The following is a 20,644-nucleotide window of genomic DNA, read 5'->3' on the forward strand; positions in this document are numbered from 1 at the left end:
CAGCTGCATAAAACCTGCAGAAGCTATGAATTCACACATGCCTCATCCCACCAGAATTCAACACATACTTCACATAAACTTACCCTCCTTCAAATACATGTACATGCTCCCTACACATACTCTGAATATCCACATAAACTACCCACAGTCTAGAACACATATAATCCAAAAGAATCCTCACATTATACACAAAACTCCAACTCTACCACAAACATATGTGGTGGCTTTCCTCCCTAATACATATACAGCCGCTCAAACTCCCTAAATTCATACATACAAACTCCAACTTTGTATGCACAAAGACACACTACCCTAAACATACAGACCTCCACCTCCTACAATCCTGAACACACAGACACATGCATTTGTCTTCCACCCTCAGACTACAAATGAAGAAATGGATTCAAGCTGAACAGAGGCAGACTGTGGTCGATGCAGGCATCAGCCACCTAGATCCCTCCTTGATGAATGACTTGTTTCACCATTTGCTGGGAATACTGTTGGAAGATAGACTTGGCTCTCAGGCCCTCCCAGGGTTGCTTCAGCTATGGAGAGCACCCGTGCTGAGTTCTCTCCTCTTTCTGGGGAAGCTTCATATGCAGTGGCTAATCCAAGCAGGTATAAAGCGGCTGACTAAGGACAGTTCTATTGAGACACTTTAGTCCCACAGCAGCAAATGGGGTCAGGTGAGACTGTTTGGGGGCCCGAGTCATAGTTTAACTTCTCCAATGCAACTATGCTCCCTTTTTTCACTTTTTAAAAAGCAAAACATTATACTCATAAATTCTCAGGGACTGAACTAAGGGCACCCAACCTGGGACCACATTCTTTGATTCCTTCATTCAATGATTATTTTATTTTTTTATTTTTTTTGAGACAGAGTCTCGCTCTGTCACCCAGTCTGGAGCACAGTGGCGCAATCTCGGCTCACTGCAAGCTCCGCCTCCTGGGTTCACGCCATTCCCCTGCCTCAGCCTCCAGAGTAGCTGGGACTACAGGCACCCACCACCACGCCCAGCTAATTTTTTGTATTTTTAGTAGAGATAGGGTTTCACCATGTTAGCCAGGATTGTCTCAATCTGCTGACCTTGTGACCCGCCCACCTCGGCCTCCCAAAGTGCTGGGATTACAGGCATGAGCCACCACAGCCGGCCCATTCAATGATTATTTATTAAGCATCAACAAATACAATGATGACTACTCTCTTACGGAGACTATATCCCATGGAAGTAAACAGATAATAAATAAATATACTATGAATACAAACACGTACACACAGTTTCCTGGAGATGTTCAGTCAGCAATTAGATTAAGCAACTGAGGCTCTGTAGAGACAAGTGAGGGGCTAAAAATATAGATTTGAGGAAAAATGCAAAGGAGAGAGTACATTCCCTCATATAAAATTGTTTCTGCTGGTGAGGTTTCCTGCAATTTTGGCACGAGGCATGCATTCGTTTTCAGGTCTATCGGTTATTTACTGTGGTAATACTGTAGATCGGCAGATTACTGCAGAATCCAATGGACTGAAGCCAGAAGCATTCACATCAGGCCTCTGAGGGTCAGTGATTTGGCTTGGCTCTGCTGGGTTGTCCTTCTGCTCCAGTCTGTTCTGCCGTTCTTTGTTGCCTCCTTGGTACAGACACTGTAATGGGTGCCCCAGAGGATTCTAAGGTGAATAGGTCAGCTCCCTGTGTCTGAGGTTTAAATCCTGTAGGAGCAGAGGTTTCCAGCATTAATTTTGCTACGAGACAGAGGTTGAAGTTGGGGATTTAGGGGCAAGAGCAGGGAGCCCATGCTCCCCTGGGGCCATCAGAAGAAGGGGCTCTGAGTGTGGATGGGAGGGGGCCTATACTAGGGAAATGGGCAGTTATGTTCCATATGGACTAGTAATCACATTAGCTAACAGTTATGCCATATGCACCTACAGTACAGCCTTCACTGCTCCAAGCAATTTACATGTATGAATGCCAATCTTTATAACCCCGTGGAGTTAGCACTATTATCCTCATTTTACAGATAAGTAAGCTGAGGCTCAGAGAGGTTAAAATACTTGCCCAAGGTCACAAAGGTCAGGTATACACTGGGGCTTCTGGGATTTGAGCCAGCAGTCTGGCTCCAGAGCCTGTACCCTTGACCTGACCATGGCTGCCCCTTGAGAAACTTCCCTGCCACTAGGGGAGTGCTGAGTGCAGAGAAGACATGTCATACAGGAAGTAACATTCCAGTTACATCTTCTGGCAATGAAGCTCCCCCTACAATAAGGGGTCCTCATGGGGGAGGATCACCCAACCACAGCCCTTTCCAGTGCCCACTGTCAGCACAGCAGCTGTGTCCTTGCTGGTAGAACACCCCATCTCCTACCACCTGCTTCCCAAGCTGGGCCTGGGCTTGTCCCTCCTGGGATACCTCCAGTTACATTTGCCTCCACCTCGCATTAGGAACCTTGGGTGACTCCCAAGAGAAGGCCCTGGTCTCCTTAAATATCCCAATTCTAACCTGCAGACACCATGGACATACTTATTACTCAAAGGATGGTTGAATAAAGTCTTGATCTGCAAGAAGGACCTAGACCACTGAGCCCCAAGCTGACATTCCCCCAGTGTTCCCTACTTACAGCCCCAGGAAATGGGTCTGGGCAAGGAAGGAGAGGCTGGGGACTCTTGTGTGTAGCGGGGCTTCATATGCGCTGACATGCCCCCTCCACCTCTTTGTGCAGTCAAAGCCTGCCTCCCACTCCATTCCCGACCCCCAGCTCTCCCTGCTCTGTTCCTAGTGTCTGCCTGGCTGGCCCATTCTGCCTTCCCTGGTCAGCCCATTCTGCCTTTCCTGGTCTTGCCCACTAAGCCTCCTTCCTTTGACCCTAGACTCCTGCAGTGGGCATCAGAACAGCCTCCTTTGAAGGGGCAGTTCCTCAGTGGCCTCACTGTTTCCTTCTGAGTGTTCTCAGACCCACTGCTGTGTCACTATAGGGCACCAGGGCCCAGTGAGGACTGAGATGGGAACATATCCTTTTTCCTATCAGCTCCTGGGAAACAGAACAGTCAGAGGCTTCTAAGGGGCTGGACAGAGGGGCCACTCAGCACACAGTTGAGGATATCTTCTGTTCATAGAGAGAAGGGGGTGGTGCAGGATACATTTCATGACATACACTCCTCAAAAATATTGAGCCCAGAACAAATGGCTTAGGCCAACCTCAGCAATTCTAGCAATTGCCATTCATGCAACCTGCATGGGAGATTTTCTGTGCTGATTCAAGACCAAGAGACACATGTACTTCTCCCCTAAAACTCAGGATCCATGACTACCCATTTCAAAACAAAGAAATCCAAGAAGATCTACCTGGTATACATTACAGTGCATTTTTTTAAGACATATATTATAAAAGCAGACAGAGCTCCATTCTGCCAATGAAACACAATACAACTAGTGCAACATACCCTCATTATGTTAGGGCAGGACATGAGGGGGCAGCAAGAACCACCAGGAATCCATTTGTACCACAGGGAAGTGGCTATTAGAACATTAAAGGAAGTGATGTTGGCACATTTTATTGGCGGGAGGATTCACCACGAGGAAGATAAGGCCAGAAGGCGACTCCCGGTAAGGAGCAAGGCCCACAAATCCTCGGGTGAGTCTGAGGGAGGAGGTGGTGGCTGTGGGGTCAGCAGGTGGACACCTGCATCACGTGGCTCCCTCTGCTGGGCTTGTGGCCCCATGTGCAATAGAGAAACTAATGGAAGGTTGGGTGACCCAATCAGAAATATGAAGCTGGCCAGGCGTAATGGCTCACACCTGTAATCCCAGCACTTTGGGAGGCCGAGGCAGGTGGATCACCTGAGGTTAGGAGTTCGAGACCAGCCTGGCCAACATGGCAAAACCCCGTCTTTACTAAAAATACAAAATTAGCTGGGCTTGGTGGTGCATGCCTGTAATCCCAGCTACTCCGGAGGCTGACGCAGGAGAATGGCTTAGAACCCGGGAGGCGGAGTTTGCAGTGAGCCGAGATCGTGCCACTGCACTCCAGCCTGGGCAACAGAGGGAGACTCTGTCTCAAAAAAAAAAAAGAAAAGAAAAGAAAAAAAAAGAAACATGAAGCTGAGATGCGCTTGCCACTCCAGGGGCATCCTGAGCCTTTGGAAAGAACCCGTTGACAGGGTTCTCAGAAACATCAGAGCCACATTTTCTCAGGGGGGCTTCCCTGTCTCTCCAGAACCCAGCTCCCAGCACTCCTCAGGACAGAGCCTGCCCAGCTCTGCCCGTGTCACTTCACTGACCCCCACCCCTGCCAGGCTTCTCCCATACCCGCAGGGCCAGCACCCAACGTGCTGAGAGAATGGGGTCCCAGAACCAGATGAACACATCAGGGGAAACTGAATCCATTCTCTCTTGGGGTCCTGAGCCTCCCAGTGACAGAAGATCCAGGAGATGCGAGTGGGAGGTCGCCCTAACAGGATCTAACATCATGCTCCAGATTGCTGAAGGGACACAGATCGGTGCCTCCTCTCCTTGACTCTACCCTCCTCACTCCTTAGCACCAGGCCTGGCTGTACATCCCTGCCAAGGTGCAACTAAGACCTTTGCCTGCAGCTCAGGAGTGCCCCCGACAGGAGCACAAGAGGAGGCTCATCCCCACCCACAACCCAGGCCGGAGCGAATCTGGCTGCCCAGGCTCTGTGTCTGGCTTCTGCCCCAGGACCTGAGCCCGTGTAAACTCAGGCTTCCTTGGCCTGCCCTCCCCAGGCCCAGGTTCTAAAGGTTGCTCCCCACAACTTCCTTGTTGCTCCTCCACTTTGTCCCTTGAATTACAGCCCAGCTCTAGGCGGGACTGTGAAGCTCTGCCCAATGCTTTCCACGAGAAGTCAGATTCAGGCCCTTGTGCCTGAAGATTCCTTGTGAAGAGCAGATGACACCTTCTCCAAGAGCAGCTAAGGAATCACCTTGGCTCCTCAGGCTGAGTATACATTTTCTGTACGGAACTTCAGAAAGAAATGGTCAACATTCATTCCTCACTTCACCAGAGAAAGAAGAAAATGTCACGTGCCTTTGATTCCCTCTTTTTACCAAGACTCCACTGAGATAAAACTCCTAACACAGAAGCCAACACGTATTCTCAACACTGGGTACCTGCTGGAGGTCCTGCCTTAGCCCCGAAGCCTCAGGTTTCCATGGGGACAGGTTGGTTGAGAACTGGTGGCCCAGCTCTCAGCCTGACACCCAACAGTATCCCCACCCAGGGGGCAGATGGTAGTGCAGGCACAGGTTCTGCAGGCTTTCATCTCATGGAACGTATGTTAGAGGGTGTCCTTGTCACTCGCCATGCCCCAGAGGAATCAGCAGGGACATCAGGACTGAGAGAAGACATGGCACATCTGACCTCCTGTCCTGGAAACCCCACATCTTTCTGACTGTGCTGATCACACGGACAATATCTAGAAAAGTTCTGCTCTGCACAGTGTTCCGTCTACCAGGCCCACCCATCTGAGGACCCAGATGCTAGGAACACAGATACTGAAGGAGCAAACACCTGCCTAAGGTGCAGGTACCCCTGCATCCATCTGTGGGAGGAAGAGCAAGAAACTACCATTTATATGGATTCTTTGGCCCTAAGAATGAACCAACTATTTAGGAGTAACACAGTGATGCAGAATGACCAGGGAGGGTCATTCTCAACCATGCTCCCTGGTCATTCTGCATCACTACAATACACATAGAATCCCCAGAATACACAACCATTAAAGCCTCAATATTCTTGCTTCATACAAACATTTGCTTACAGATCCTGAACACACAAACACACACACACACCCGCCCCGGGGTGTGTTACTAACTGCTTAATAAAATGCTCTCCAGGGGGACATAGGAAAGCCTAGAATTGTGATGCTTATGTGGTGTAAATATCTCAGCATGACTAATTTTAAACTACCAACCTAACGCCACTGAACACAGAGATGAGAAGAGATGTGCCTTGCCCAGTGGCTACCCCAAGCTAGTACAAGCCAGCTCCAGCACAGCCACATCCTTTCATAGGAATACGTGTACACAATCTACCTGCACCCTGAGTAGGACCCTCAACTCTCACCCCAAATATAAAAACAAAACCAAACCAGGTACCTCCAGAAGACAACCTCCTCATATATCCTAAACAGACACACACAACTGAGATAGGATAGGGTGGTCATAGCCTCCATTAAAGGAGAACAAACTTGCTAAACAGATGAAGAGAACAAACCATCCGACAGTGCACAAGGAGGTCCTGCAGTAAGGAGGTGGAAAAGAAGAAGGGAAAATCCCCAAATTCACACAAGTGCAAAAACCCATGATTAGTGTCCCTGGGTTGACCAGTGCTCACTATAACAGTGAAAAACACACCCTTGGGTAGAGATTTAAGATGTTAATGATTCACCTGATATAGGCACTAGCATGTGCAGCAATAGCGCATGCATGTCCAGAGAACAGCCCAGAGAGTGCTTAACAGTGACACCCCTTCCCACCCCTTCATGAATAGTCATGTAAGGCTCCCATAAAGGAGGTTTCCCCAGTGTCAGTCAATGCTGTCTCACCTTTCAGCAGCCCACTCTGATCGGCTGTCAGAGTGTACATTCACTTTGCAGTAACCTCTCTTGCTTACTTTTACATTGGACTCACTCTCAAAGTAAGACTTCTTTTGTGCAGCAAAGTCAAGAACCTGAACCAGCCCACCAGCAACACAACTGCTACCTGTACCCTAAATACACAGATGGCCTGCCCAATTATTACTTAAATTTGCAGACAAAACTCTACCCACCCCAAATGCTCACCTCACTGCTAAAACCATATATGTATATATATACGTGCCCAAATACAAACATGTTCAATGAACACAGTACCCATATATACCCATATATACTGTGAACCCTGAAAGGGCTGATCATAAGTGGCTAACTGGGCCTAAACTCAAAATGGAGCCAAGCAGCCATTTGCTGACTGCAAGTCTCACACATTTACCCTGCTTCCTGCAAAAACCACATACTTGTGTCACTTTGGGACTTTCACAGCTGTCTGTTCCTGTTTATGTCACCTGAATCAAGGGGTACCATTTCATCATATGGACTTAAGAAATAGACTGTGACTTGCATCAGCCAATCAGAAATAAACAAGCTTGTATCCCTCATTTGCAGAGTGAACCAGATTGGGAATCTGAGAACGAATTTCTCTGTAAAAGATAATACCTCTCTTTGTTCTTTCAGAGTGTACCTTTGTTTTGCACTGAATGCTGGGACTCCTTGATTTGCAAACAGCTCAGTGGAATCAAATTTCTATTTTTTTCTTTTGTTGTTTTTTTAAGAAAACCCTTTTCAGTAGATTTGTTAACAGTACATAATGAAAATCCTATAGGCATAGGCTCAAAAAAAAATCACAAGGTATACAACACTTGTGTCATGCATCACCCAGAAAAAGAATCACATACAATCCCACAGCTCTAAAATATAGGAATCCATGATTCTTGAATCCAAACACAACCTACACAGCCTCTCTGTTTCCAAATACATGCACTGAACCTCCCACATCTCCCAGAATACAAAACACAGAAGCCACATAAACTCAAATACACACAGAACCACAAACTATTTTTATCAAATACATATAAGTCCACCTCACAAACTCTGAGAACACAGATACAAGTGGCAACACCAAATTCTGCGAGTATTACATTTCACAACAGACACAGAGGACCACTAAGTCTTAATATACCCAAAACCCCTCTTATACACACTCACAAACTACCCATGAATACACACCTCACCCTCCCAGGTAAGACCAATACAAAAAAAAAAAAAACACAAAAACACCAATAATGCTCTAATATACGCACATAACTTTCATATACCCATGGGCACATACAAACTCACAAAAATATCCCCAATCCCTGAGTGTATAAATCCCCCGAAACACTATCCAATCAATATGCTACATCTCCGGAATACAACCTCCTCACCTCATCCCCTAAACATGCCCAAACACGTGTACGAACATCCTAGCATTCTCCAAAGAAATACACTTTAAATACTAACAATCCCGTATTCTATAAACCGACTTAGATAATTCATCTATCTGCTGATAAATATACACACAAACCAGTATACACACCCAAGATGCACAGAAATATCTCCAGCATATCATTTATAAATACCCATAAAAACACTTCCCAATCCCAAATTATCCCAATCTAGTATGAACCAGCTCCCACATTGCCAAGTACTAACCAATAACCATATCACATACCTCTGATACATATAAATTCAACTCTCCCACTCTCCTGTATAAAAAGAGAACCCCATCTCTCTATCAGACACACACATACTAAATTCCCAGAATATATAACCCTAATAACCACTTACTGCAAAACACAAGCACATAGCTCCACAAAACCTACATCTAAACTGCCACGCCCTTGAACGCACACACAAACTCAATACTCATGTAGTTCTCTACATGCCCTAAATATACCCGCGATTAACTAACACGCCACAAATATGCAAACATGCCACCTCATATCCCCAAATACACATACAGTTCCACAATACTGCCCGGCCCAGTTATGACCTTCTTTAATCTGCAATCTCCACACAGACACAACCAACCCACACACGTGAATACATATTAGATTCTCACCAATTAAATACATATCAAATTCCAAACTAAGAATTCATATAAACACATTTTCACATACACAAAACCACCCCCACAAATCTCACACCCTCCAAAATCCAAAATAAATCTTCCTGACATTCTCAAGTACACACTAACCCAACCACCCAAGATACACACGTATGTGCAGTAAATTTTAGATACATGTGTAGCCTACAATTTACAAATAATATACCACTACTTTTTATTTGTAAATTCCACATAAGTAAGCGATTCTCATGGGAGCTTTTCTTGACTTTGGCCACACTCTTGCATCCACAACCAACTTGTGCTACCAAGTGAACAGACTATGACTAAAGGCCTGTTCTTCCACTTTGCAGCTGCTCATATCAGTGACAAATCAGCGTATTAGAACAAGCATGCTGGCTGATTATTCTGATCAAGTCAACAAGCTTCACAACTCACTCAATGAGGTCGTCCATGAGAACTTCACTGTTTTACCAGGACAGGAGCTACTTCTTTGCTGAACTGCATCACGGTTTCAACTGCTGAGGTTTTCTTCAAGCTTTTGAATTGTTTGGAATGTGAAAGGCACGGCTGAGACACACTTTGGCATTCCCACTGCATTGTTACACCTCCCCCATCACTTCAGGTCCAGGTGAGCAAGGGAAAGGAGCGCAGCCTGGGTGTCCCGCAGGGCCCCCGCTAGGAAAGCTATGAACGATCCCGCCTTTGAGCGCAGCCACAGGCCTGCTCTGGTCACAATGTGGGGTCGCCCCGCGGACACCGGTGACCAGTGGGAGCATGACCAGGAGGTGATTACCTTCTAATCACCCTTGGTTTTATTTTTAGGTAACATCAAGGAGGACGCCATGAGAGCGAAGGCCGTTGGGTAACCGCCCTTTGCTCTCGTGCTGCGCATCTCCCTGCCATAAACCGCCGCAACCGGCACTGGGAGCGGTTGAGGGCGGCCGGCCTCACGCTGGGAGCGGTTGAGGGCGGCCGGCCTCGCGCTGGAACCTCACCCGCCTCAAGGCTCGTGTGGCAGCGCACGGGGCAGGCCAGGAGCCCGCCCTGGGAAGGCCCCGCTGGAGATGTGGAAATGGAGGGAGGCAGCACCTGGGCGCTTCCTGGGGCCAGACAAGCCCCCTCATTGGAACCTCCATGACCATGCCTCTGAGAAACCAGCGCGTCCACAGCGACCACTCCTAATTTTCGGTAATACAAACCTGCAGTCCATGCACTTAGGTAACACCCTTGCTGAAAGGTTTACCTTTGGAGGGTTTATCCTAAAGCAAGGTATCCTCGAATTGCATGTCTTGCATTCCCTTTGGACGGCATTTATTTCATTCCTGCTCATGCCTTTCAAAAAATAGTATGCCCTGTTTTCCTACTCAGTCTGGAGGTTCCATTGAAGAATATTTCTGGCAAATAATTTTAGACCTGAAAACACACTCCAAAATATACTTTCTTCTGACTCCATTCCCAGAGTTTTTCCTACCGCATTCAAATGATTTCTAGAAATGTTTTTGTTGTAGCCTTGATCAATTTCAGTCGATAAAGCAGCAGATAGTAAGGGAACAATTCCACGCTCCCCACCCCTGACTCTGCAACACAGTGCAGAATTCCAGTTGGCAATAAAAAACTAGTAGAGAAGCAATTCACTGACTTAAGTTTGTAACAGCTTCAGAAAAAACTTTAATCGTACATCCTTTCTGCTCATTTGCAGGATTCCTATCGTCTGTCTCCACGTGATAACACTGAAGAGCCTTCACGTTGATGCAGGCCCAGGGCCTCAAGTGCAGAGACTGAGAGCTCTGCAGGACACAGCATGGAGCTGCCATTCCTCTACTGGGTGGAGGAGCATGTGTCCTCTGAACAGGGGATCGAAGCCCTGAGATGTTCTTTCTCAGCTGTCAGTGCGGCCAAGGACTTTCTGTGGGGATGCTCACAGAGCAGGGGCCAGAGGACTTTTAGCCACCACCTCCCATGGCCAGTCTTCACAAATTACCTTTGGCTAATTTGATTGTCTCTCCTCCTGGGGTCTAGGACTTCAAACATGTACAGAAGCAATTGCAGAATTAAGACACTTCCACAATATATTTTTTGTATCACTGGCTCAGAAAAAGTCTCATTCAAATCCTGTATCAAAGCCATGTGTGACAATCTTGAGAAACCATCAGTTGACTGACTTGACAAGGGAGGAAGCAACCAAAAATTCTGCCCTTCTTCAGTATCTGAGTATGGTATTTTGCTTCAACATCCCTCTTAGATGAAGTTATTGATTGAAAATCATTTAAGTTTGCCCCATGGTAAAAGATCAAGTCCTCAGAAAGATCTCCAAAGCGTTTATGGTTTGTTTTGTTTTGTTTTGGTAAGTTTACCATGATTTTGCTTGAATTGCTCTCCGTTGATCTTCTCAGCTAAGATTGAGGTAGAGTTGCACAGCAGAAGAGGGCTGCATGTACCTGGGGTACAAGGATTGCTTCCTAAACAATGATAAGCACACAGCCACCTAATAGTCTGGATCGGCTGAGACCATTCTGATTTCAAACACCCAGTCCCCTTGCCTTCGTAAGAACCCCTGTGTTTCTCAGACTGAAGATGTGTTTTGAATTTTGTTCACGAAGTGAGGCCACTGTTGAAACTCGTCAAGACTGGGAAAGAGCCAAAGTGGGAAGGAGCATGGGTTGACTGGCACAAAAGTAGGTCTGTTGATAAAGAATGGAAGTAAAGGGGACATCAGGTAGAAGCTTTTGCTGTGAGTCAGAAGGACAATTTAAAAGTTGCCTAAAGAGGCACATGCCATCTCTGCTGCTGCCTTCCAGTTGGAAGGGAAACTCAGGTTCTTGCCTAATGGCTGAAGCCCTTCACAGAATGTCCCCCACCCCTACCAGCTGCCCACTGCCCCTCCCCCTCTGCAGAATGTCTGGGGTCCTATGTTCCAAAAACCTGTTTACATTCAAATTTTAACTGCTTCAGTTGGACTCAGGAGCATCTGCTGAGCCAAGTCACTCTCTGGGTCTTACCCTTGGCTTTTCTCATTGCGGAAACTGCCAGACAGCGGTGGTCAGTGCCCAGCCTGAGGGGATGGCTTCAAATGGAGGTAAGCCTATAGGGATGGGGGCATTATCTGAGTCTGCCATGCCTCAACTCCTTAGGAATTCAAATTTGATACTGCCCCGGGGACAGTTGATAGGGCTGATGTTGAGGAGGGAGGGAAGACTGGATGTCCCCAAGGACATCACACCTGGGGATGGCTATGGCACCCTGAGTCTGTGTTTAGGGAGGACGGCCCCTTAGAGGTGGAACAAGATGCCTGGGTAATACACCGTGTAGGAGAAAGGACAGAGTGGATTGATCCTTTCTAGAAGGAGACAGGTCACATCATTTTGTGTTTGTAGGGAGTGGTGGGATCATGTTGTGCTGGTGGCCCCGGGAGGATGATAGGCAAGCCTGAACCCTGTGCCATATCTTTAGGCACCTGGAAGGTGCCCTTCCATAGTGTTCAGAGAGATTTGGGCTGGAGTTTTCTAGATCTTAGGGAGGAGTGGGGAGAAGTGGTCTCAGCCAGAAAACTGTTGGGTGGGTTGGCTGTGACAGAGCATGTAGTGACAGCCCCTGTGTGGGCGAGGCTGGGGGCAACTGTAACTGCCACAGCCCAGAGCCCCTCAGCTCTCTCCCTAGAGATGGCTTCTCCATCAGTTCAGGTAGCTGTTGGCTTTGATTTAACAGGGGTGGGGGCAGATGAGGAAGTTCAGGCAACACAGGGCCTGGGTTTCTTGAATTGTTCTGAATTGTTTGCCCTGTTGTGGAAGCTCAGGTCTTCAGACCCACTTCCTCTTGTCTGCTAGCTCATGGCCTGTCCTCTGCACTTTGTGTTACTGTGGAGATGAAGAATTTGCTCCTATTCCATTTATACTACCTCATGAACGGGGGGCAGGTGTGGATTCTTGCTGGTTCTCAGTGGAAGGGTCTGGAAAGTCTGGTTTCCTTTTCAGCAGAGGAAGGAGAGTAGCACACAAATAGGAAGATGGTTCTCTTATTATTATTATTATTCAAGTTAGGATATGTGTCCTGAATGATGAGGTGCATGTGCTGTATCCCTTATTCCCCTTGACTAGAGACTGCATGAGGTCCTATTGAACAGGGATGAGTTCCAGACAACTTTGCCTCACCCGGCCCATGGCCCAAGAACCCCTGGTTTTTGGTTGGTCACTATGTTCAGTTATTGGGAGCTTAAAGGAGAAGGACCAGGGATGGGCTCCTTGTCCCACTACCTATTGTAACATGACCAGCAGCTGTGAAAATCCCTAGACAACTCCCCTGATAGCCCTGCTGCTCACCATTTGCTGGCTGTGTTCTAATCGTGTGTGGCTTTTGCTGGCTATGCAGTGACACTGTTTCAGGGGACTCCACCACTGCCTCTCAGACCTGCTCCCTGGGAACAGAGCTTCCTGAGTGGCAGCCGGGACCATCGAGTACTGCGGAAAGGGTGGCCTGAATCTGACCCCTATTTAGCACTTGCTGTGGGTGGTGCCAGGACAATCACTTGCATGCTGGGCATGACGAGTTATGGATTATCTTCAGGGTTCCTAGGGCGCTGGCTTGGGAAAGATTTCCATCCAGTGGTTTTGTTTTGTTATGTCTGAGCTGGGAAAGAAAGGGGTTTACAAGAGCTTCAGGAAAAGGAAGATTGAAAAGGAGATGGGGCCATAATATTCGGAAGCTTCTGGCTTCCTGTCGGCCTTCTGAGTGCCGAGTACTGCCCTGGGGTAGGCCCCTCACCTGTTGCTGAGCACGCTGAGGACCACCAGGCCGCTGAGAGACTCATCCCTGACCCATGGCTTGGGAGATGCCTGTGAGGCTGACAGGGTCTGCCAGGGACAACCGAGGGAGACCCTCGGGCAGCGAAGGCTTGGCTGTTGCTTCTTGGGAGACAGGGGTCAGGGAGTCTTGGTGACCGGGGCCAGGCTCTCTAGTGGAGTGACTCTCCATGGAGGAACAGAGCATCCGATGCACACTCAGGGACATTTGCAAGCTGCAGTTTCCCTATCATACGCCCTTAGCTGTTGGGACTCCCCTCTGATTCTCCAGTGACTAGTGTGGACCTGGAGACCCCAGCTCATTCACCTCTTTCCTTTGTCTCCACAACATACCCAGTGCTGGGACCGGGCGTGACCGTGAACCCTGGTACCTCCCTGTCTGTGTTCACGGCTCTGCCCTTCACCACACCCGCTCCTGGCCCAGCACACAGGCCGCTCCTTGTGACTGCAGGGGTTCCTCCAGGCGGCCCTCTGGTGCTGTCTACCTTCCCCAGCACACCTCTGGTGGCAGAAGAGGATGGCTGCGGCCCGAGTGGGGCCGGGGCTTCCAACGTCTTTGTCCAGATGAGGACAGAGGTGGGGCCTGTGAAGGCCGCTCAGACACAGACCTTGGTCCTAACTCAGGCCCCCTCATCTGGCAGGCTCCAGGCGCCCTCTGTGGAGGTGTTGTGTGTCCACCTCCCCTACTCCTGGCAGCTGCTCCTGTGGTGCCTGTTATGGCTGCCCAGGTGGTTGGGGGCACCCAGGCCTGTGAGGGAGGCTGGTCCCAGGGCCTTCCTCTTCCACCACCACCACCACCGGCTGCCCAGTTGCCCCCCATTGTGTCCCAAGGGAATGCTGGGCCATGGCCACAAGGGGCTCATGGAGAGGGCAGCCTGGCTTCCTCCCAGGCCAAGGCCCCACCAGATGACTCCTGTAACCCCAGGAGTGTCTATGAGAACTTCCGACTCTGGCAGCACTACAAGCCCCTGGCCCGGAGGCACCTTCCCCAGAGTCCTGACACCGAAGCGCTTTCGTGCTTCCTCATGTGAGTGTCCTCGGGGCATTGGAGCTGGTCCTGCAGCTCACACGTAAAGAGGCTGCTGGATGGACGGGAGGTCACGCTGTTCAGGGGAGCTTGCAGGGCGGTTGTGAGGGTGATGGGCTGCACTATGGGAAGGTACATTTTCAACAATATTAATCTGGCTGCGGCTCAGGACAGACTGTCAGGGGCCTCATCTCAACTGCCCGTCACTGTCCTGTGAGTCCAGCCAATCCTTACTTTCAATAATTTTTACAACAATGTCTACAGAAGACCCAGGTCAGAGAGGGTTCCTGGTGTGATGTGAGCTACGGTTTGGGTTTAGGTCTTTGAGTACACACCCCAGTGCCTCCCCTTTAACCCAGTATTGATGGCCAGGAGCACCTCACATGGGGCTGGGGGAAGGAGCTGCAGGGCCCAGCAGGAACCTGGCACATGCCCGCAGTTCCGCTGAGGTCCAGTTAGCACAGTGATGGTGGAGCCTGCACAGGGGGATGGTCTTGGGCCCTGCACTGGGGCCGATGCCGGGCAGGTATTTGCATCTTCACCCTCAATCCCTCCTAGAAAAAGGGACAATGATGCTTCATTCAGAGGATGGTGAAGAGATAACTTGAGCTCACATATGACATGCATAGCACAGTGCCTGGCACATGCTATGACATATTACATGACAGCATTATGATTACTGTCCCCATTACTATCATTATCAAGACTAGGCCGTCTAGGAGAGCACTCACCAAAGCCACGGGCTCCAGTGATAGCTCTGAGTGCACCATGAGTCCAGCAGCCCAGGGCCATGGACTGTGGTGACTGTGAGGCAGCAACGTCAGCATCTGGGAGAGTTTGTGGTTTCATTCCCAGTCCCTGCCTCTCTCCACCCTGCAGCGCCTCTGTGACCCTGTGTTTCCCGCTGATGAGCAAACGGGAGCTTGAGCACATCCACCGTGCAACACACTGGCCATTCCCCTAGGGAAGTCCCCTGCCTGGGGTGTAGGTGGAAGGTGGCCCCATCTTCATCCCCAAAAATCTCGCTGTTCCCGCACCCTGGAACTGGTTGCATTCCTCCTTGGAGCGGAGTCCCGGTGCACTGGGGACCCTGATTCTTGGGGTGGAGCTGCCCCAGGCTCACAGGCCTTTGCCATGGCTCCTGTGGGAATGTGGGATCTGGACCTGCTGCTTGCAGTGGCGTGGACACCGCTCTGCTTTGGTTCTGGACGTGTGCTCCTGCTCCTCATGCTCCAGGGCCCTGAGGCTACGTCCCCAGGGGCTGCCTTGCTCCAGAGTCCCCAGGAAGCCGGTTAAATGCTCAGTCTTGGGGCCCTGGAACCTGCACTTTAACCCTCACCCCCAGGTCATTCTGTGTGCACGCTGTCTCAGTCAGCTCAGGCTCTGCCGTAACGAATGCCATAGACTGGATGTTTTATCAAGACACATTCATGTCTCCCAGTTCCAGAGGCCAGAAGTCCCAGATCAAGGTGACAGCAGATTGGGTGTCTGGTCAGGGCCCTCCTCCTGGCTGGAGAGAGCTGTCTCTGGCTATGTCTCCTCGTGGCTGAGAGCAAGAGCCCTGGCGTCTCCTTCTGCCCTTATCAGGGCTTGGATTCCATGACTGGGACCCACGCTCATGACCTGCTTTAACCCTGATTGCCTCCAAATACTGACACACTGGTGCTGAGGGCTTCAGCACAGGAATGTTGGAGACACACATGTTCCACCCGTAGTACTGAGTCCACTTCTCAACACTGAGGACTCGAGGGGCAGTCGGAGAGGCCACTTGGTAGCTTGTGTTGATGTTTGATCTTGGGGGTGTGTCCTGGGGCCTGAGGAGCCCACATGGGGGAGAACAGGACAGGGACAGATGGCAGGACAGGTGTGGGGAGGACAGGGGCCAGGTGTTGGGACCAGGTGGGCTTGGGATGAAGGGTGGGCTTATAGACTGAGACTGACTGCAATGGTTTACAGCCCAGTTCTCCGATCTCTGGCCCGGCAGAAGCCCACCATGACCCTGGAGGAGGGACTGTGGCAGGCCATGCAGGAATGGCAGCACACGAGCAACTTTGACCGGATGATCTTCTACGAGATGGCAGAAAAGTGAGTCTGGGGTCCTGGGAGCAGGGCCCGCGTGGCAGGGTGAGAGTGAATGACAGAGGCCCGGTGGCCATGGTGGCTTCTCAACGTGGAGTATGAGGAGGGTGTGGAGAAGCCCAGGACACTCTGGGCCCCTGGATCCCTCAGGAAGCGGCTCCTGCCACCTAGAGTGTTCTGGGGTCTCTGTCCTGGCCTATTGGGAAGCACCCCCTGCCTGGCCTGGGGCCATCCCTGCCTTGACACTGGAGGTCATGGCAGGAGCAGCCAGTATCACAGCCCAAAGTGGGTCACCTCCAGCTGTGGGGATGGGGAGAAGGGGTGCTAGTGACTATGGACAAGAGTAGGGTGCAGGCTCCTCACAGCAGTGGCCAGAAGTCGGTTTTCTCCCATCCCAGCCTGGCCAGGGAGTTGGGTTGGGGAGATCTGCACCTGGGACACGATGGGACCCATCTCTGGCCTGACTGCCTTTGCTCCTGGGCAGTCCCCTCCATGAAGGCAGACAGATAGACAGCAGCCTCAGGGGAAAGGGGCCCTGTCCTCTGAGCTCAGCTTTTGCTTCCTCCTGACCAGGGGTCTCCCAGGCCTCATGCCCCTGGGTTATCTTTCAGGGGCCCACAGTCCTAGCCTCAGGACTCCTGCATCTGGGCATCATCCCTGATGCCTTCTGCCATACACCCCACCCCTGGCCAGCTGAAACCTGGAGGAGAGGTCCCCCGAGACCCTCCTGGACCTCGTGGCCCTGAGTTGAGTCAGGAAGCCCCGTTGATGCCATGGGCTCTGCGGGGGCTGGGTGAGGGAGGGTGAGCCCAGAACTCTGGGAGCAGCTTTCTCCTGGGACTGGGGGATGGGACACAGTGAGGGCCTGGACAGCCCACCGGAGGCACTCCCTCCTATCCCTGCCCTCGGCCACTGCCTGGTCCTGGGGGGAGCGGGCCTGGACCCTCTCAGCACAGCCTGGGCCTCCTTCACCCCCAGATTCCTGGAGTTTGAGGCTGAGGAGGAGATGCAGATTCAGAAATCGCAATGGATGAAGGGGCCCCAGTGCCTGCCTCCTCCAGCCACACCGAGGCTTGAACCTCGAGGACCCCCGGCCCCTGAGGTGGTCAAGCAGCCAGGTATGGCTTCCCATATTCCCACAGGAGCCATGGCAAAGGCCAAAGGGGCCAAGGGAGGCCATTGTCCCCACACCCCATGCTTCCCTTCAAGAGGGGGATTTGCTCCCTCCAACAGGACAGTTTCCAGGAGCATATGTTCGGTATTGACCTGGTCAAGTTTCCTAGCTACTCTCTCCCCTCGCCTGTCCAAAACTCCACATATGCTCTGCCCAGGAAGCAGGGATGAGCGGGGAGAGTACACGGCATATTGGTGGCTCCAAACTTCCTCCCAAGTGATGCTGTCTCAGATGTGCCCCTCCTGCCTCCTCTGGGGGCGCTGCGGTTCAGGTGGTCCTGACCCAGCTGGGACCCACTTCACATCCCCAAGCCCTCCCCTCCCCTGTGTGGTGCAAGCAGGAGGAGCGGCCCTCACCATGCCCGTCCTCCTCCCTCTCTGCCTCAGTGTACCTTCCCAGCAAGGCCGGCCCCAAGGCCCCGACTGCCTGCCTGACACCACCCAGGCCCCAGAGGCCAGTGACCAAGGCCCGCTGGCCACCACCCCGGCCCCACCGGCGAGCACAGACCAAGGCCCGCCTGCCACCACCCAGGCCCCAGAGACCAGCAGAGACCAAGGTCCCTGAGGAGATCCCCCGAGAAGTGGTGCAGGAGTATGTGGACATCATGGAGGAGCTGCTGGGGCCTTCCCTCGGGGCCACGGGGAGCCCAAGAAACAACGGGAAGAGGGCGAAGTGAAGCAGCCACAGGAAGAGGACTGGATGCCCCCAGACCCGGGCCTCCTGAGCTACATTGACAAGCTGTGTTCCCAGAAAGACTTCGTCACCAAGGTGAGCTGGCCTGGAGTGCTGGGGTCTGCTGGATTCCAGGGGGTGGCACTCCCAGGTCCTTGGAATTAAGCTTTGTTCCTTAGCGACTCAGCAGTGTGTGTATTTCCATGGATTTGAGAGTCTGTGTATGTGATTGTGTGTGTCTGTGTGTTGCTGTGTGTTTGTGTCTGTGGTTTGTTACTGTGTGTCTTTGTGTGTCTGTGTGGGTGTGAGTGTGGAGTGTGTACGTTACCTGTGTCTGTGTCTTTTCCTGTGTCATATGTGGGTCTGTTTGTGTGTCTGTGTGTGGTTTGTGTGTCTCTGTCTGTGTGTGTGTAGCTACCAGGTCTGTGGTCTGTGTCTGTAGCTGGTGGTCACCATGATATGAGACAGCCCCAGGAGGGTGGGGACGGGGTGCTCGCTGCTTTCTGCATCTCCTCCAGGTGTCCTTGGCTCCAGGTTACTCCCTGCCCAGGAAGCTCATGCCTTCTTCCTTCTGTTTCCAGGTGGAGGCCGTCATTCATCCCCAATTCCTGGAAGAATTGCTTTCCCCAGATCCACAGATGGATTTCTTGGCCCTAAGCCAGGAGCTGGAGCAGGAGGAAGGACTCACCCTTGCCCAGGTACCCCAGGGGCAGGAGGGACCTGGCACACAAGGCCCACCTGATTGTCTAATCCTGCCCGCTGGGGATGCTCGGCTTCTTGGGGAGCCACTCTGGAGTGGGAAGATGCAGGTTCAGAGGGAGTAGGATGGACAGGAGCCAGGGAGGGGAGTCGGCATGCAAGCTGTGGTGAGGCCCAACGGGATGCCCGGCAGAGCCACACCCTCTCTCTTTGACATAAAGCCCAGCTGCCTCAGGCTTCCCTACCTGCTGCCTAAGTGCCCTGGTCTCCACCACCCTGGGCCCTGCTCACACCTGGGGCAGTGCCAGTAAGTGCCCCCTTTCCTCCCGCAGCTAGTGGAGAAGCGCCTCCTACCCTTGAAGGAGAAACAGCATGCGAGGGCAGCCCCTAGTCATGGCACAGCCCGGTTGGACTCAAGTTCTTCTAAGTTTGCAGCTGGCCAAGGAGCAGAGAGAGATGTCCCTGACCCCCAACAAGGGGTTGGCATGGAAACCTGCCCACCCCAGACGACTGCCCGGGACTCTCAGGGACGAGGCAGAGCACACGCTGGCATGGCCAGGTCCAAAGACTCTGTTGTGCTTTTGGGATGTCAGGATTCCCCTGGGCTGAGGGCTGCCCGGCCAACCTCTCCTCCCCAGGACCACAGACCCACCTGCCCTGGCATGGGTACCAAGGATGCCTTGGATCTCCCTGGAGGGTCTCCTGTCAGGGAGTCACATGGGCTGGCTCAGGGGTCAAGTGAGGAGGAGGAACTCCCCAGCCTGGCCTTCCTCTTGGGTTCCCAGCACAAGCTTCTGCCCCGGTGGCTACCCCAGAGCCCTGTCCCTGCCTCGGGCCTTCTCAGCCCAGAAAAGTGGGGACCCTAGGGAACTCATCAGTCCCCATCTGCTGAGAGAAGAGGCCTCAACCTAGCACCTTCTCCTGCCAACAAGTCCAAGAAGCGACCTCTCTTTGGAAGCCTGTCCCCTGCTGAAAAGACACCCCACCCAGGGCCTGGGCTCAGGGTCTCTGGGGAGCAATCCCTGACTTGGGGGCTGGGTGGCCCCTCACAGTCTCAAAAGAGAAAGGGTGACCCCTTCATCTCCAGGAAGGAGAAGAAGCAGCATTGTAGCCAGTAGGGGCTTCTGAGCAGGCTCTCTGGGGCCAATCCCCAAGGATGGGGCTCTGGCATCCGATGCCCCAAAGCGGTCAAAACTTCTTCTCCCCCAGTGCTGATCTTGCTGGGCCTTAGCTTTGGAGGGTAGGGGAGGGAGGGGAGGGAGAGGGTGGCTGAATGGGGAGGGCAAGAAGGAAGGGTCTGGGGGGAAGGGGCTGGGGAGTGGGGGTGGGAAGCAGTACGTTGGGGGCCTCGTGTGTAAGTATGAATAAATGTAGTTGTTTTGGAAAATGCTCTTGGGGTTGCTGCCTCTGTCCTCGGTGCTGTGCTGCTCCGTGGAGGGTGTCTGTGAGGGAGGGCAGAGGAACTGGCAGATGCCAGGCTCTGGGAACCCACAGGGGCCGGCCCCACTCTTTCCTCCTGACGTAGGGAGCCCCTTCAGA

General features: G+C 51.7%; 1 long non-coding RNA gene and 1 pseudogene across 1 annotated transcript, besides 1 other annotated feature; one reads left to right on the plus strand and one right to left on the minus strand.

Annotated features, from left to right (window-relative positions):
- Window positions 1–1,590: 1,590 nt before the first annotated feature.
- Window positions 1,591–9,577, minus strand: LOC105378302 (uncharacterized). The gene is made up of 3 exons (XR_945957.3): window positions 9,452–9,577; window positions 9,094–9,193; window positions 1,591–1,708 (listed from the first exon to the last, which is right to left on the minus strand). It is a non-coding gene; the product is annotated as an uncharacterized LOC105378302 (long non-coding RNA).
- Window positions 11,065–20,492, plus strand: NUTM2HP (NUT family member 2H, pseudogene; annotated as a pseudogene).
- Window positions 14,115–14,614: an enhancer, noted in NCBI's record as "H3K4me1 hESC enhancer chr10:52439265-52439764 (GRCh37/hg19 assembly coordinates)". NCBI's record gives its function as "activates a minimal SCP1, AML or CMV promoter by ChIP-STARR-seq in naive H9 embryonic stem cells {active_cell/tissue: H9 hESC(naive)}" and the evidence as "EXISTENCE:reporter gene assay evidence [ECO:0000049][PMID:30033119]".

Source organism: Homo sapiens, chromosome 10 (assembly GCF_000001405.40).
Source record: "Homo sapiens chromosome 10, GRCh38.p14 Primary Assembly".
Classification (NCBI taxonomy): domain Eukaryota; kingdom Metazoa; phylum Chordata; class Mammalia; order Primates; family Hominidae; genus Homo; species Homo sapiens.